A 19,245-nucleotide genomic window follows, 5' to 3' on the forward strand; every position below is an offset into this window, starting at 1 on the left:
TGCTCTCCCTTCTCAAGTGCTATGGAAGTACGACTGGCAGGACTGTGGGTCTCTGCATGCATGTTTCCATTCTCAATGCAATCACAGACAGTGCCAAACCTTTATGTCCTTATTTTCTGAACCTTCATATGACAGGTGGTAGACATTTCCATGGCACTGACACAAAAATTAGTAAATACAGGGCTACATGTTTAAAATATTCAGGAACAAAATGCCAGATTATCAAATCTATTTCAAAAGATTGTTAAAGCTGCAATCTTGAATGACATAGCCATGTGCTATGCCAAGAACACATAAATCCCCACCTGTAAAGCACCAGGGTGTCACCTGCACACCCAACAATAAAGAATTCAGGGTTTTTCCTTAAGTTAAGACTAAAGCAAGGATGGTAAATGATTATGCAATGTAATTCACCTTTTATTCCTCCCACCACACAATGAACAACTGACCTTCTGTGCGTGTATATGTGTGAGTGAACTGTTTAAATAAGAAGCTTCAGCTAGTTCTTCTATTAAATATGAGAGAAAAAATAAACATTTCCATTTTGCAAGCCTGGCATCTTCTCCATAATATAAAGCCAAATGGAAAATAAAAGGGAATGAATATCATCAGAGGACGATTACCTATGACAAGTCAACAACTGCTGCCGGCAATCAGTGAGGACCAGCATGTATAATACTAAGCCTTAAGATGCGAAATATTTATGCCTAAACTTTATGAACAACTGCTCAAGGAAAATGACTTGCTTTCTTTGCCTGACAAAGAAAATTTAGGCAGCTGTTCTCCAACTTTGATTTCCAGAAAGCTGGGGACTGAAACTGCCATCTGTAGAACAGCTATTGTTTAATTTGAAGACCACATCACAGGATATTTAAGTGACATGCCAGAAAGGGTTATTGCCCCACTGTCAGGCTGGCCTGGATGCTGGGTTTATTATGTGTGCTTTCTTCATGTAATCATTGATTCAAAATCCCTCTTGACATTGAGGGCTGGAAAATTCTCCTTATTGACAAAGATACAATATGAGAATATGAAAATGTGTCTACTCAGAAAGGACTGACCAGGGATTACCTAATAAAAAAGACAAGAAGAAACAATGGCAGACCTTGTCATATTTAAAAATAATATGCTGGTCCCTCTTCCAACTTATTCTACTTAATGCAGCCATGCACTCACTACATGCATTTCTAGCGCAGACTATGAGCTGAAAACTATTAACCAAAGTCTTATTTCTTCATGCTAAAAAGGCTCTGCCAAGCAGCGTCAGTAACAGCAACAATGAAAAATAAGATTGCAGGTGCATACCTTAACCTCCTGATTGGTAAAGACCTCGACATCCACCACACAGGCAACCAGAGTGGAAACATCACAGTCCATGCTAGGGGCTGGCATTCCCCCTTCTGAATTTTTAATAAAGAGTTAGGCAACCTCAGAGTTGGGAGTGAAGGGAAGAGCTTCCAGATGGATATTGCTGTGGCCAGGCCTCGGTGCTGCCTTGCTCTGGGGACGGCTGGAGGCTCGGGCTCCTGGAGCCCGCTCCCACTGCACGCAGCCCTCCGCGTCTGAGGCAGCACAGCAGAGTAACGAACGGCCCGGCTCGCTCATGGCAATGACATCACCACAAAGACTGACACAAGCTGAAGCTATTTTTTTTTCTCCAAGCCTTTTATCTCTAGGCAGTGCAGTGGAGCAAATTGAACATGATTATGTGCTAAATCTGAACTCAGACTAAATCAATTCAAGCAGCGTTAGCTAGGAACTGAGTCATAGCTGTTGTTGCAGCCGAGTGCTTATGTTTGCAAAAAGCAGGAGGGGGTGAATCTGACACCAGAGTTTCTTCTTTGAGGTGGGGGAGGTGTAATTCTGCAGATGAGCCTCCTGAGGTTAAGGTTTGACAATTTTCTGCCTTCGAGATGAGCAGGAAGTTGAGGCATTTTGCAAATTGCTTGGCTTCTGTTAATTGCTCTGTGCCACTCAGAGCAGCCACACATGTTCTGGGCATCCTAATGCATCCCGGGCATGGGCTGAATAGAAATCCGTTCTTGGAGTGACTAAAGAGCTGGTCGTCTGTCATTTAGGGAGCATGGTAAGAGGAGATAATTAGAGGTTTGTGGAAATTCTATTTGAAGGCTATAAGTGCAGACCAGTAACGCTAAGAGCACCCTTCCAAGCTCAGGATTTCAGGCTGTCTCCAAGGTCATTCAAACCAAAAGCAGTTCATGGAAAGGAGTTACAGCAAATATTTCACACGGGGACAGATGGCAGGGTCTAACGGGCAAACTCACTGATGTGTCTCAGAGCTTGTCAGATCCTCGGGGCTTGACTTCACCTGAGACTTTGAACACATCCTTTTGCTTTCTCAGGCTTTTTTCCTGATTATAAATCCCTGAGGGGCAAGGCCACAGATGATTTACCTTTATATCTTCAGTCTTTCACAGATTGCCTGGCACAAGAAGATGATACTTGTTTAATAAATAAATCAATCAAACAGGAATAGCCTCCTTTCACAGGAGTGACCAAAGGAAAAATTTCCAATTGTTTTTTATTTTATCATTAGTTATACAAGTCCCAGTAGAACTCACTAACATTGTAGCAGTATCTATCCTTAAGAGTTCAGTTGTATCTTCAGTGGCCACTGGAACATCCTGATTTATAACAGATTGGTACTTTTCTAACATATGACTGGACAAAAGCCTCCCAATTTTACATGCAGATGAGAAAGGTGACATTTCAGACTGAGAGTAGAAGCTTTCTCATTTGTCCTCATTGGTGTACACTTGAGTCCAATGTTCCCCTTCAACAAGGCATTTTCTATGCTAAAGGTAATCAGGCCACAAATATGGATATTTAGACTGATGAAACTGTGTGTGTGTGTCTTTGTGCATTTGTTCAAGTGGCATTTATTTCGCTGTCCAGGACACTGTGGGAAATATTAAGTCATATATGCATATAATCCAACTAATATCAAGTAATGACTATGCAAAGCTCTGCATCTGATACTCTCAAGGATAAAATGATGAAAAAGCAAATGTCACTATCATCAATGGGCTTAAAATCCAGGGGAGGAGATAAGACATGGAGACCAACATTTCACAAGGCAGGGATGGTGATGGCTGAATAGGTATAGGAAGTGTTCAGTGGGAGCACTGGAGAAAGAGCAATGAATGCTGAATGCTGGATCCCATGTTAGGATGGCAGGTGAGCATCAAAGAAGGGGAGGAAATTTCTGCTCTGACCTTGAAATACGGGAAAGATACTGGCAGACAGAGAAGTGAGGGGTGCCCTTCAGCTAGGTAAAAACAGACTAGAAATGTCCAAAGGAAAGAATAAGGCATTTGGATGCAAAACTCACTCAGGGTTAAATCTGGCTGGAGCCTGAAGTATACAAGGCAGCCGGAGCCAGATGATGCAAAACCTGGCCAACATGAAGTACCAGGCAGCTTTTGAAAAGGTAAATGGGGGATCTACCTGTACAAGTGTAGCTAAAATGTAAAGTAATACAAAGATGAATGTGATTTTGAATATCACTGGCATCTGTTCAAGAGGCAAAACAAAGAAATGAATATTTTTTCATATGCCATGGCATATCCTAAAATTTATTTTTTACATTTCACAGCATACTGGTAAATGTTTAACAATCAGCTCTCTGAAAAGAAACATTTCAATTTTTAGCATTCGTCAATTTCTATGGTGTAAATATGCTCATCATGGCTGATTTCCAGCAGTCAGTGTGAAGTCAAACTGAATACAAAGTTGGGAAGACATGCATGTAATCTGCTCACACGGGCTGTTCCAGCACATCACTGTTTCATACTCATGAAAACGTTATGCCATATCAGTGACAGTTCATCCATAGAGGCAAAGTCCACGTGTGCCCAGAGCCCATCAAGAAACAACAGCAAAGTAGAAGCAACACATTCTAATCATTGCTCTGTTTACATAAGGGGCTGTATGAATTATTTCACACTTTATGTTTAGGAAAGAGCTATAAAAGATAAACATTGCTGTGATATGCCCTGACCAGAGGACATTATCCAGGAAGCAAAGCCCTACTTGAAGTTGTAAAATAGGCAGTTTTTTTTTTCTGATGTATCCTCAGCTTTCCCTTTCTAATTTGATTCTGCCCTACAGATTCCTTCCTGCTATCCAAGCACCCACTAACTTTATGCTTTCCTCTTTTAAAATATCTTTTCAAGGACAGTTGTCAACTCATCTGTATAAGCATTAAATGACTGATAACTCATAGTATTATCCCTCCCAGAGGAATACATATTTTAATAAGAGACAGAGTCTTAAGTTGGGCAAATTGTGTTTTTAGGGCAGAGTTCTAGGCATCAAGAGCAGATGATTTGTGGGGCAAAGGAACTTTCCAGTAACTCTGAACTAAAATTAGTGGGTTTTAAACCCCCAACTTATTGGGTTTTTAATAGTCATTCGTCTATACAATATGGTCATTTTCCTATTGGCTAGAGAGCCCAGGAGGCTCTCCTGTTATAACAGTGTCCTGTTTCTCTAGAGTTTTGTTTGTTTGTTTGTTTGTTTGAGATACAGTCTCATTCTATCACCAGGCTGGAGTGCAGTGGCACGATCTCAGCTCACTGCAACCACCACCTCCTGGGTTCAAATGATTCTCCTGCCTCAGCTTCCCTAGTAGCTGGGACTACAGGCACGGGCCACCACGCCCAGCTAATTTTTGTATTTTTAGAAGAGATGGGGTTTCACCATGTTGGCCAGGAGGGTCTCAATCTCTTGACCTCATGATCCGCCCACGCTGGCCTCCCAAAGTGCTGGGATTCCAGGCTTGAACCACCACCCCTAGCCGAGAATGTGTTTTTTTATAGCTAGGGGCTGACTTGCAGCCTTGGAGGTGTCTAGAATATAGATACACTTTGGCCAATGGCTACAAGGCCTTGTAAACACTAGACTTGGATTATTCTCCCACTTCATCTCATATCATTCTCACCTTTCTTCACTCCTCTTGTTCCAGCCCAATTGGCCTTATTGGTGTTCCAAAAAAAAAGAAAGAAACAAAGGAAAAACTTCCAAGCTCATTCCCATCTCAGGCCCTTTGCACTTGCTATTCCCTCTCTCTGAAAATATTCAGATCTCTTCATGGCTTGCTCCTTCTTATCATCTGGATCTCCGCTCAGATCACATCTCTTTGGAAAAGTATTCCCCAATCAGCTAAAATAAAAATTGTGTGCACATTTTTACACACACAGAGTCAATCACTATCCTGGCATCTTCATTTTAACTTTCTTCACAGCACTTTTCACTACCTGAAATTATTCTGTTCATTTATTTCTTTATGTGTCCACTGCTTGTCCTCACAACTAGAATTTAATCTCCATAAAAGCAGAGATTTTTGCCTATTCTGCTCCCTGCTTATTCCCAGGGGCTAGAAGGATGCCTGACACTTAGGAGTTACTCTAATAAACATCTGAAAGATGAATGGATAAATACACAAATGAATCTAAAAAGGCAAGTAGAGAGACTCAAACCAATAGAGGTGCCTCCTAGATCCAGGAGTTGCAGGGAGGCTTTTGCAGAAGGGCTGCAAAGGCATGGTGAGTTCGGTGATAACCTCTCATCTCTGAGAGCTGAGTCCTGGCTTAGCTCTGTTCAGGAGTGTCCTTTCCAGCTGAAGTGGCCAGAAAACCTTGGGATTCATCCAAACCACTGCTCTTGCAATGACCGATCACACTGAGGAAAGGATGCATTATGCACAGACCCCTTGGACAGAGGCCATTGCCCTCCCTTCAGTTCAGGCAATTCTCTAAAAGGATGGACAGCTGAGCTGATACACTCACCTCCATCTCAGCAGGAGGAGATGCACACCTTCCAATCCCAGAGGAAGCTGTGGTAGCAGCAGCCAAGCCTGTTTGGCTAATGAGCATAGAAGTTCCCATTACAGCTATGGGTTGTCAAAGGCTCTGCTCCTTCTGTATGGCCTTCTGGATCATCTGTTTTTTAAATGTTTATTATGGAGAATTTCAAATATATTCAGCAGAAGACAGAATATAATAATGAGCCTTCATGTATCCACCACCCAGGTGCAAGAATAATTAACAAGGGGCCAATCTTGCTTCCTCTCTGCTAGTCACTCTCAGAGTGTGGTCCCCAGACCAACAGCATCAACATCACTAGTGAGCTTATTAGAAGGGCAGATTCTCGGGCCCCACCCAAGACTGAATCAGACACTCTGGAGGGAAGACCAGTATCTGTATTTTAATAAGCCCTCCAGGTGATTCTGATGCAAGCTCAAGCCTGAAAACCACAGCTCCACGTCTTCACCCACTTCCATACTCACTCCAGATTATTTTGCAGCAGGTGCCTGGCATCATATCATTTCATTTATAAATATTTCAGTATATATCCCTAAAAGACAAAGGATTCCTCTTTTGAAATCACAATACGTACCATCACACAATTCGAAAAGCAAGAATATTTCCTTAGTATCACCAAACGTCCTGCCAGGGTTCAAATTTCTCCAGCTGTACTATGATGTCCTCTCACTTCCCATCCTTTCTCCCCCTCTCCTTGATCGCATCCTGGTGTTCCTTCTCTTCCTTCTTTCCTCTTTAATAGTTTGCTTATTTAAATTGGGATCCAAACTACTGTGTCTCTCATGTTTCTTTTAATCTATAGAGTTCTCCTCCATTTCTTTTTCTAATTCCTTGCAGTTTGTTGGTGGTGATGAAGCCATGTTATTTGTCTTTTAGAATTTACATATAGTGGAAATTTAGAAACTCGACACAGTGTAGTTTAACAGATTTTTCTGTTGCCTGTAGGTTCTGTTGTTTAGATCCAGATGCTTAAGGGATTCAGGTCTGGCAAGACTCCTTCCTAGATGGTGCTATGTGTACTTCTATCAGTGGGTACATAGAGTCTGGCTGTCTCTCTTTTGTGGTATTAGTGCCTTCATGCTCAATGCCTAGGTGCGTTCATTTATTAGGATTTACACAATGATGATATTCCTCCTTCATTTATTCATGGAACACTTCCATTAAGAGGAACTACTTCTCATCTACTATTTAGTTACTTTGAGCCATGGTTTTTGTAATAAAGGCAAAAATAAATATTTGCTTCTTTTCCTTTATTAATTAAAAACTTTTTATGAGATATGTTGCCCAGGCTGGTCTCCAATTCCTGGCCTCAAGTGATCCTCCTGCCTCAGCCTCCAGAGTCACTGGGATTACAGGCTTGAGACACTGCACTCAGTTTTTTTTTTTCATGATTTACTTCCCTATTATCCTGCAAAGATCACTGAGGGTTTTTTCATTTTTATTTTTAAAGTATCATTAGGAATTCATGGATTAAACATATGTGATGGTTAACCATATTAAACGTATAAAACTACAATACATTGAGGTTTAATCTTATTAATGCTCAAATTGCCCATCTTTAGCTAGTGGGAGTTTAATCAGGTTGGTTCCTGAGTCCTCTGACAAATCTTCAAAGGGCACTTACCTTATGGTATGACAAGATGTTCCAGACTCATCTTGTTCATTTCCTGCCTTAGATAAGGAGTCAGGCATTTCTCCAAGGAACCCCAGTTCCACTTGGTAAATATTTCAACATATTTTAAGATATCAATCTAGAGGCTTACAGGAGCTCTTTGTACTGGGTTGGGTATTGTTTATAAGCCTTTTCAGTGAACAGAGCTAGAAAATATGTAAATATTTTAAAGATAACATATGCCATGAGTTCAGATTGATCATTCCATTTCAGATCCAGGACTACAGAGATTCTGCTAAAACACATAAGTCTTACATTTGTATCCCTTTCTTTCACACCAGATATCTTCGTTCTTACCAGCAACATAATTGGCTAGTTGCCTTATCCCACACTATAGGCACAACAGCCTTGGAATCACAATATTAATGCAACCAGAAAGAGTTTAAGATTTTTTTCTAGTTATTTTTGTCCTTAGAGTATATCCCATAAAGCATATACAAATTATGTCTTACAGTCATTTAGAATAGCACATCTATTCCACCAACTAAAGACTAAGTTAGGTTCATCTGTTTTTGATGCCTAATGATTGTTTTTCTCTTTAATTTTGTGTTATAATTATATAAAATATTTCCATGGCTCAAAAATCAAAACTACAGATCTATAAAGAAATCCAGCTTCTATCCCTGTGATCAAAATATTCTTTCTTTCCTTCTCATACATCCTTATTGTTTAGCCTCTCTCATTTTAAAAATTCTTTTTTTAATCTGATTTTTTTTATTATACTTTAAGTTTTAGGGTACATGTGCACAATGTGCAGGTTAGTTACATATATATACATGTGCCATGCGGGTGTGCTGCACCCATTAACTCATCATTTAGCATTAGGTATATCTCCTAAAGTTATCCCTCCCCCCTCCCCCCACCCCACAACAGTCCCCAGAGTGTGATGTTCCCCTTCCTGTGTCCATGTGTTCTCATTGTTCAATTCCCACCTATGAGTGAGAATATGCAGTGTTTGGTTTTTTGTTCTTGTGATAGTTTACTGAGAATGATGATTTCCAATTTCATCCATGTCATTACAAAGGACATGAACTCATCATTTTTATGGCTGTATAGTATTCCATGGTGTATATGTGCCACATTTCCTTAATCCAGTCTATCATTGTTGGACATTTGGGTTGGTTCCAAGTCTTTGCTATTGTGAATAGTGCTGCAATAAACATATGTGTGCATGTGTCTTTATAGCAGCATGATTTATAGTCCTTTGGGTATATACCCAGTAATGGGATGGCTGGATCAAATGGTATTTCTAGTTCTAGATCCCTGAGGAATTGCCACACTGACTTCCACAATGATTGAACTAGTTTACAGTTCCAACAACAGTGTAAAAGTGTTCCTATTTCTCCACATACTCTCCAGCACACGTTGTTTCCTGACTTTTTAATGATTGCCATTCTAACTGGTGTGAGATGGTATCTCATTGTGGTTTTGATTTCCATTTCTCTGATGGCCAGTGATGATGAGCATTTTTTCATGTGTTTTTTGGCTGCCTAAATGTCTTCTTTTGAGAAGTGTCTGTTCATGTCCTGTGCCCACTTTTTGATGGGGTTGTTTTTTTTTCTTGTAAATTTGTTTAAGTTCATTGTAGATTCTGGATATTAGCCCTTTGTCAGATGAGTAACAAGTATATGTGTATATTATTTTCCCAACCTTTATCCCATAAATGATAGCACACTTTGCTCACTATTTTCTGTCTTGGTCTTAATCACCATAAAATGTGATGCTGGCGATCACACCATAGTAATATGTAGAAATAGGCCTTTTCCTTTTTACACCTGTATAGTATTCAACTATTTGGATTTACCAACGTTTCTGCAATTAGTCCCCATTTGGATTGTTTCCAGCCTTTCGCTATTAAATAATGCAGCAATGGATAGACTTTGAATTTTCATATTTTGTTACTGTATCTTTGGGACACATTTTAGAGTGGAAACACTGGGTTAAAAGGCAAATGCCTATGTAATTTTGCTAGCTCTTGCCAAATTTTTCTCCACAGGAATTGTACTATTTTTCTTCCCCACCAGCAATTTATGAGAAAGTTTGTTTCTCCACAGTATGTGTTTCAGAATGCATTGGACATTTTCCCATCTGGTGGGTAAGATGTGATTATCTCAGTGAAGCTTTGATTTGCATTTCTCTTTCTGTAGGCGCACATATTTCTACAAGTGAACTCAGCCAGCATTGTCTGAATCAATGCCTTCCAATCTTTTCTCCAGCTAATTCAGATTCTGTTACTGACACTAGCAATCAAGATATCCTAAACACACACTAGAGACCTCAATGAGTTTTCTAGTTTATATTTCTCTTATTATGAGCAAGGTGTTAAGGTTTGTTCCTATGGTAAAGAGTCACCTGTGTTTCTTCCATTATGATACCTCACTTGAGTCTGTCCATCACATGCAAAAACACATTCTCACCTCAGGGCCTTTGCGCTTGGCCATCCCTCTGTCTAGAACACTATTCCCATCATTGTGGCAGGGTTCATCTTTCCACAGCATTCATGTCTCTGCTTAAATGTCCCTCCTCAAAAGGCCTGTCTTAATCAGCCTATCTAGGTAGCACTCCTTTCACTATCTCCTTAGCCTGCATTATTTTTCTTCCAAGCACTGACCACTAATGGACACTGTATATTTATCTGCATAGTTGTTATCTCCCTCCCTCCATGGAAAGCCAGCTCCTTGAGAAGCGGGCTCCTCTACCTTGCCCACAGCTATATCTCCAAGTGCCCCCAAACAACAAGGCCTGCCATGCAGTGAGAGCTCAGTGAGTGTGTTGGATGAATGAATACATGAATGAATGAATGGAATTCTTTTGCTTGGAAAGCCAGCAGAGAACAGGTACTGTCACACAGACAAGAAATAAATCTACAACCTAGGTCCCTATAAAGGAGAGTGAACCTGAGAAGGGAGGCTGAGGTAAATGAAGATGACTCAGGTCACTGGACAATAGGGATGGTGGGGTGGGGGCAGGAGAGGTCCATGAGAAGTCATAGGGACAATGAAAACAGGAAGAGGGGCACAAAATGCAATCCACATTCTCCGCATTGTGTAGAAGGTCCATGCTAAGTGGCAGCTGCAGTGCCCTCAGGCAGACTCAGGGACAGTGTTCATTCCACCACTGCCCAGTTAGCACCTTACTGCTGCTGAGGCCCCACAGATACCTTACAGCTAATCACTGAGTGGCACTCCTAAGAAGCCACTGTCATTTCTTCTTTGCCGTACCTTCCTCCCCGGGTCCAAGAGTTTTATCCCTGCCTTAATTCGTTCTTTAGGAAGACATATTTTCCCCTTTCCATCCTCAATATCAGAACCAAGTGCATTCATCTGGGCAGTACCATGTTTAAGAAGCTGACACACTCGAAAAAATTACAGGGATGAAAATAAAAAGGGTGTTTGCTCAGCATCCCTGTCTTCTAGGCATTGCATTCTCTGGAAACTTCTCCTTCTCCTCCCATATTGGATGTGTCTGAAGGAGGCCCTTAGCTGGCTGGTCAGACTTCTCATGAGGATTTTCCAAACCTAAACTGGGTCAAAAGCACCAGTCCCCTGTGATGTCAGAAGCTTGGGACTGTTGCTGCTGTGTTTTTCTCTTGTGCCTTTGAATTAAGTCAAATTAGAAACAGAAAGAAAAAGTGGAGAAAGGACATCAAATTCTGGAAGCATCGGAGTCCTCATTTTCAGTCACTTTGGAGGCCCAGTGATGCCCTGTCCTGCCATGAGTCTCATTATTCAACTCTTCCTTTGGTTATTTTAATATGCTAGCATTATCCCAACCAATGCCTCTCTTTTTCCTCAACCCAATTCAGGTATTGTTTCTGTCACTAACAACTAAAAAAGTCCTGTTCAATACACACACAAGGACAAACCTAGATTAAATAACAAAGGACAATAAAGTGGGAGTCAATCATTGGGAACTAGATATTCACGTTTTCAAATGATTCCATGGAAAGGACGCTCCTCCTTCTCCCAAGCAGTCTTGAGATGAGGGGGCAGGCATCATCCTAAACCTTCCTCTTGAGGTCCCAACAGGAGTCTCAGCATGGATTTCTACAAAGACAACCTTGGTAGGGATCTTTTTATCTCCACTCCCTTTATCTTACTAATCTCCCTTTCAGGATATAGTGCTATCTATCTAGTTTTTGGGCCACCTGCTTAGAAAATCTGCATTTTGGTGTGATACCTACCTCTGTTTAGAATGTCATATTTATTAACTTATGTTATCTCAGTTGAAATTTGGAATTTATCATCCTATCATACTATCATTTCCTTAGGGCTAACTTTGTGAAGGAACTCTGTAAACATTCATAGGAGTTAATGTATTTAAACTTCACCATAGGCCCCATTTAGAGATGATGTAATTTGCCCAAGGACAACTAGCTGGACAGTGGGTGAGCTAAATTATATCCAAATGCCTTGTCTTCAAAGTGTGAACTCTTAACTTCTCAACATTTCTGCTATACAAACTTGTACATTCTAGAGGAGGGATGATGAACACATCTGCACTTTGGAAAGAATTACAGTGGTGATGTGAAGACACAGTTGGAAAGCAGCAAAAGTAGGAGGGAAAGAAATTGGCATCTCGAAGTAACTTTAGAAGAACAGAAATCAACTTGGCTGAATTTCTTGGTTGAAATCTGTAAGTAGCAATGAGCACTGCTGGTGACATTGTAGAAATATAAGAGAACTCAGTGACTAGACTAGATGGGGTGGTTTTCAGAGACAGCAAGGCAGGTGCTAAAGGGTCAAGGTTTCAAAGTCTTATCTCTAAGGGGAAGATGGTGCCAAGGACAAGGGAAAGTTCCTTAAAGATATGAAAGGTCTCACCCACTGAAAAAGATCAAGAAAGGCTTCAAGGAAAAAGAAGGGCATGTGATGTGGATGCTGGATAGAGCTAAGGTGAATCAAAGCCTTGTAGGCAAGGATAGGGATGTGTTTAAAGACCAGTGAACAGCTTATTTAATTGGAATGGAAAGCCTGAGCAGGGCATGATGGGTTACAATAAGATTGGAAAGGAGGGTCATGGCCGCATAGCTGAGGACTTTGAGTGCCAGGGTTAAGAGTGGGCATATTGCATCCAGTAAGGTATGTGAATCTATCAAAAGTTCTTGAAAAGAGTGGTGCAAGAGGTTAAATTGAAGTGGGGAAGGATTGTAAATGTTGGTGACTCCAAAACTCTTGCCAGAGGCAATAGGGGTTGGATTACGGAGATGCAGTAGTAATATAAGAAAGGAAATGAATGTGGGAAACACCACGGAGATAAAGTGTTTAGAGTTTAACAATTAATTGGCTGTCAAGGTAATGATCTGGGGATGGGGGATAAAGTGAGGAGAAAAACATATTGGAAGTACCAAAAAAAAAAAAAAGCACAGGGAGAAGTGTTCAAAGGAGATTCTAAGGGTTTCAGTCTGGGTAGATCATGGTAACTGTAACTGAAATAGCTTAGTTATACAGATGACAAGAGTACATTTGTGACATACATACATGACAATGAGACACACATACACATTTGCTCATTTCAATCTGTAGCTAATATCATTTATCTCCATGTTAAAAAAAAGCAAAAAAAATTAAAAAAAGAAGGGGAAGGATAAAAAATGAGATTACTTCTTACAATGGTAAGAGATACTCGTTTTTATTGGCACTAATTAAGGAAGAATATTATTGCAGTACTGTTATAGTTCTGAGTAGTCAAAACTCTAGAAGCAGATTCCTTTTCACTGCTTTTCTTCTTGTGCTAAAACCTACAGCATGAGAAAAGCAACACAGAAATCTGTGAATTGTGGTCCTTCTATGCAGCTATTTTTAATCTTTCAAAAATGCCTAGACTTTAGTTTGAGGTGTAAACATGTGAAAGTATTTGATAAGCCTTACTCTTTATTTGCATTTAAAGGATTTTAAAGTGCAAAAAGACTTCTAGAAAAGCAAACGTACCATATTTGGACCTGAACATCTAATCTTCTCACCAAACCTGATCCTCTTTCTGTATTTCCTGTTTTAACTGTGACACCACCTTCCACCCCACTCACCTTTCATCGTAACTTTAGTCATCTTTGAATTCTTCCATTGGCAATCCATAGCTTGATTTTGGTTCAGGGCTGGTTAAGCCAGAGGCTCAGTGAAGTTATCGCAAGGTGCTGTCTCTCTAGCTCCGTCTTCTGAAGGTCAGTGTCATTCTAAAGCTGATTCCCAGGACAGCTGCCGGTAGTGCCCTCTGCCTTTATTTTATTCCACAACAGGGACACTTGGGTCACCTGTTCACCTCTGAACATGACTGTGGCTGGGCTAGGGAATGTGCTGATTTAACATTCTGGTGAAAAAGCCAATTTAGACTCACCCCTAGAGTGAGGAGTGGTATCAGTTTTCCCTGAAGTGTGGGCTGCATGGGAATGGAAGGATATGCAAGTAAAAATCTAGATTAGGAGTAGAGGGATGCTGGGCAGCACCCACCAGTGTCACCACTGCTCCAATTCCTATACCTGACAGAGCACTTGGATGCAAATGATAGGAAATATCTTTGGCTAAGTAGCAAAACAGTAACATATAGGGGATGAGCAGGTGGCTCTTACAGAGTTAACAAGAATCTTGAGAAACAGCTTCAGAAACTAGGTAGAAACCAAGAAGGTCTAAGATGCAGAAGACCACAGCCAAAATGATACAGAAACCAGTGTAGCTAGGATACCACCACTGGAACCCTCCCAATGCTGTCCTCATCACTGCTCCTGTGCTGCTATAAGTGATCACTAACTGTCCCTGTGACATTGTGTCACACCCTCTAGAGTCAAAAGTTCGGGTGTGGTGTCTCATTGGTCAAGCCCGAGTCACACACCCCAACCCCAACTGCCAGGAAGCCTGGCTAGGGTAATCTTAATCTTCATGGCCTCTTTGTGGCATGTAACAACCCCACCATAGGCAATGGGGAGTGAATTTCCCCAGTATAGAAAGTGCATTAGAATGCTGAGCAACTCAAAAATAACAAAAGTCTGTTATCAGCCTCCGACTCACTCTGCTTCCCTGCTGATCCCACCTTCTTATTCAGTACCACCAGATTTGGCTTTGTGTGAACTAGTTCTGTGAATTATACCACTCCCCTGGTTCAAATACCTTCACTGCTTTTCCATTGCTGTTAGGCCAGACATGGTGGCTCACGCTTATAATCCCAGCACTTTGGGAGGCCAAGGTGGGTGGATCACTTGAGGCCAGGAGTTTGAGGCCAGTCTGGCCAAAGTGGTGAAGCCCAGTCTCTAAAAAACATACAAAAAAAATAGCCGGGTATGGTGATGCATGCCTGTAATACCAGCTACTCAGGAAGCTGAGGCAGGAGAATTGCTTGAACCCAGGAGGTGGAGGTTGCAGTGAGCCAAGCTCATGCCACTAGACTCCAGCCTGGGTGACAAAGCGAGACCCTGTCTCAAAAAAAAAAAAAAAAAAAAAAAAAGAATTAAAGGGGGTTTCTTCATATGATGATATCAACCCACTATCAGTCCATCCATCCACCACCCACCCATCCAATGACTACTTATTGAATATACTATGTTCCCAGTATCAACCTAGGCACAGGCCATAGAAAGATGACAAGTCACTATTCCTTTAAAGAGGTCTTGGTAGAAAGAAATGAAAAATTATAATATGATGTGGTATTATGTAATATACTATAAATTATATTGTCATAAATGATATGAATACAAAATACAGTAGGAGCATAGGAGAAGTATTTAAGTTTGGTGCAGGAAGGAGAGTTAGAGAAGATTTCTCTAAGGAAGCCACATTTCGCTGGATTTTGAGAGGTAAGTGGTTTTTTAGTTTTCTAAATGGGCAGCCAAGCAGAGAGTGACTTTTATATATAAACGGGGGCATAGAATGAGGTGTCAAAGTGTGAGAAACTATGAGTAGCCCAATATTGTTGGGCTGCCCAAAGTGGAGTTAGGGATCAGGGGTGGGAAGCTATGGGGAAGCAGCTAGACTATTAAACAGTGGCTTGACATGAACAGCTTTGTGCGTTATGGGTAGGATTTTAAATTTTCTTCCTAATAGAAGAGAGAACCAGTAAAAGCTACGACAGTAGCTTCTTGACCATCCCTGCATTCAATTTCACCCCTTTTAAATCCATTCTGCAAATAATATGTGGCCGAGGGATCTTTGTACTAAGTAAATATTATCATACTATTGTCCGTGAAAATAGAATGCAAAGTTGGAACCAGGGCCTGTATATATACAAAGGAGGGAAATGTTAGAATCCAATAGGAAAATAGGTTTCTGAGACTACACTGGGAATTTATTAGGCTACCTCAGTGGAAAGCCATTCTCCTCCACTAAAATAATGTATATGACTTTCACATACATAATGTACATGAATCCATTACAGCTGCTGCCCCACTAGATGGTATAAATAATTTATTTATCCTTGTATCCTCAGCCCTTAGCACATTGCCTGCCATAAAGCAACTATTCAAGATAATGTCTGATAAATGAATGAAATAATGCATGAGTGAATGATAAGATAAGCTAATCACATCTTTGCTTCCTTTCATGGACAGATTATTTCTGAGATCTTCTACCCTAGTTGCAGCTCCACTTGCTACTACTACTACCAAGACAGTCTTCGGTGCTTGCCATAAAGTCTCCTACTCCACTATCCAACTCCTTAATTCCTCAAGCTTTGAGAATTTTAGAGATTTATACTGGAATTTAGGGACTTAGCCATGAAGTCTTAGATGTATTTATGCATATAAGAGAGATAACTGAAAATCCACCCAAGGTTTGTGCTCCCCCTGTATAGTACAGAGTTGTTTCTGAAAAGTTGTTTCCCAATCAGGGCCCAGCTCTGGTGTGATCACGTGACTGAGTTCTGGCCAATGGAGTGGGAGCAGAAAACAATTCATGCTACTTTCAGCCATAAGAACTTCCTTTAGAACCTTCATTTCTCCTCTTCAAGCTGACCTTGGGAGCGAAGTGTTGAAGATGGCAGAGCCTCTATCATTCTAGATCTTTGAAGGACTCCATGGAGCACACTCCTATTTCCTTCAACCCCCTCTTCTATCACATTGTGATGGGGTATTACAGGAGTGGGAAATAAGTCTCTCTTCTGGTAAGCCCTCGAAATTTTAGAGTGTATCTGGTAAAATAGAAATCATTACCTTAACTAATACAGCAGATGTATGTACATGTGTGTGTGTTGAAGTGTATTGCTGTAAATGCAAAATCTAATTTTATACAGAATCAAAAGCCAAATGGGGATAGAAACAGAAGCAAGAGGATTTAATCCTTGAATGAATCCTTGAAGGAAAACTTTTCTTTTAAAGTTAATTTGAATGTCTTAAATTAGCAAATTAGCAGGTAGCCATATCATTATTTGATGGATAGCATGTGTCAAGACAGAGACCAAGGGAGAAAACTGAGCTTAAGAAATGAGCATGAAAGCAAAACTGGTAAAATGAATGAGGTCAGAAAAAATTTTCTAGTAAAGTTACTAGTTTTAAAAAATCTTAATTAGTAATAGACATTTATCATTGATAAAATTTCAAATAAGTAAGAAATAATTGGAAATACATTATGATTATATCTCTGAATCTTGTCAAGCTGCAGGCTGCCAATGCCCTATACTTTAAAAAGATTATACCTGCATAAAAATGGCAGGCAGAGCCATCAAATGACTTGCTCTGTATTTCTAAGCACTTGAAGGTCATCCTTAAAAGCAGGGGGGTCAAATCTTTTGGCTTCCCTGGGCCACATTTGAAGAAGAAGAATTGTCTTGGGCCACACATAAAATACACTAGCACTAATGATAGCTGATGAACTAAAAAATAAAAATCATAAAAAAATCATGTTTTAAGAAAGTTTACGAATTTGTGTTGGGCCAAATTCAAAGCTGTCCTGGGCCATAGGTTGGACAAGCTTGCTTAAAAGAAAGGCACTGGCCGGGGGCGGTGGCTCCTGCCTGTAATCCCACCACTTTGGGAGCCTGAGGTGGGTGGATCATGAGTTCAGGAGTTTGAGACCAGCCTGGCCAACATGGTGAGACCCCCATCTCTACTAAAAATACAAAAAATAGCCAGGCATGGTGGCAGGCACCTGTAATCCCAGCTACTCAGGAGGCTGAGGCAGGAGAATCGCTTGCACCTGGGAGGTGGAGGTTGCAGTGAGCTGAGATCATGCCATTTCACTCCAGCCTGGGTGACAGAGCAAGACTCTGTCCCAAAAAAAGGTATTTAGAAAAGTAAATGTCAGTCCTATATCTTTTTTTATTTACTCTTCCTTTTCAGGTAAGGGTTGTGGTAAATCAAAAAGCTAGGACAGAGGAAGGTAAGGAAGGAAATGTAAGAAGCCACAGGGAAATGCACAAGAAGGCTGTTTCTGTTATAAAATGGCAGGTTGATTATACATATTCACAACTGCTTAGATTGGGATTTGGGTTGGGGTGCCTTTGGTTATGGAGGGCACCTTTGGAAATACTGGAGCTTTGAGAAATCACATTCCTCTTTGACTGAGATATGTCTTTTGAGTGTAGTGTTAGAGTGTCAAGAGTAGAGAAACAAGAACCTGGCTATGAAAGACTGGCTCTAGGCTCAAGGAAAAGGGACAAAGACTTTTAGGTTACTTTCAAAGTCAACCAGCCCTGGAATAGGAATAAGTAAGGAAAAAGAGTATCAGGGCAAATGCTCTATTAAAGAATAGTTATTGTGCATTTGGCTGGAGTTTTCTTTGTGCTGTGTCTCTGAGACATCTGGTATAGAAGGTGAAGTGGAGAAAGATGTAGAATGCCAGTGGTGGAAACATAAATCACCTTATCAAGAAGGAAGTTTTAGCCAGGACTGGTGGCTCATGCCTGTAGTCCCAGCTACTCAGGAGGTTGAGGTGAGAGGATCACTTGAATCCAGTAGTCCAAGGCTGCAGTGAGCTATGATTGTGTCACTATACTCCAGCCTGAGTGATAGGGTGAGACCCTGTCTCTTAAAAAAAGAAAGAAAGAAAGAATAAGCCAGAAGAACACGACCTACATATAGAACATAGCTTTTCTTTCAAACCCAGAGATCTGATGAAAGGAAAGCCTAAATGAACCAAATTCCATAAAGCGGTAAGCCCTTCCCATGGGAGCAAAAGTACATGTTTGCTTTCATCCTTGGTGTAGTTGTGGGAGAAAGAATTTGCCATAGAGAGGCATAAGGAGAAACCAGATGAACTCACAGAAAACTTTTATGGTTTGATGTGGGCTAGAATAATGGATCAGAATCCCAAAGAGTCACAGCCAAAGAGTAAGTCTGTAAAACTAATACTTTATCTAGACTAGATTTAAAATAGGGAAAAAGAGATCTGTGGGACAATATAAAGTATTCTAAATATGTATAATTAGAGTCTTAAAAGCAGAAGAGAGAGAGAGAATGATGCAGAGACATTTGAAGAAATAATAGCCAAGATTTTCCTCAAATCGATTAAAGATATTAATGCATAAATCCAGAAAACTCATCAAACTTCATGATAACCACACCTAGATGTGTCATAAACTCCTAAAATTCTAAATTAAACAGAAAATATCAAGCAGGAAGAAGAAAAAGACATTATATACAGGAGAACAACAACAGGAATTACTATTGACTTCTTATGGGAAACAATGGTGGCCAGAATACAAGGGAACAACATATTTTTAAGTCAAGGAAAAAAAGATAAACTATCAACTATATTTCTATATTCAGCAAAAGATGACCTTCAAACATGAAGGTAAACCCTTATGTAT

At 40.5% G+C, this 19,245-nt stretch overlaps 1 protein-coding gene and 1 long non-coding RNA gene across 6 annotated transcripts in view; one reads left to right on the forward strand and one right to left on the reverse strand.

The window, feature by feature from the left end:
* The window catches only part of RCAN2 (regulator of calcineurin 2), a 271,235-nt gene that overhangs the window by 103,352 nt on the left and 148,638 nt on the right, over positions 1 to 19,245 (reverse strand). Inside the window, exon 1 of one of the 5 annotated variants that reach the window (NM_005822.4) lies at positions 1,306 to 1,564. The exons of the other annotated variants lie outside the window; for them this stretch is intronic. Within the exon in view, the coding sequence (NP_005813.2) occupies positions 1,306 to 1,392 (87 nt within the window). The 5' untranslated portion in view covers positions 1,393 to 1,564. Of the gene's footprint in view, positions 1 to 1,305; positions 1,565 to 19,245 lie in introns of those variants that run through there. 5 annotated transcript variants of the gene reach the window in all.
* LOC101926915 (uncharacterized) overlaps positions 1 to 19,245 on the forward strand; it is an 89,185-nt gene that overhangs the window by 47,764 nt on the left and 22,176 nt on the right. The window lies entirely within an intron of this gene.

This window comes from Homo sapiens, chromosome 6 (genome assembly GCF_000001405.40).
Source record: "Homo sapiens chromosome 6, GRCh38.p14 Primary Assembly".
Lineage (NCBI taxonomy): Eukaryota > Metazoa > Chordata > Mammalia > Primates > Hominidae > Homo > Homo sapiens.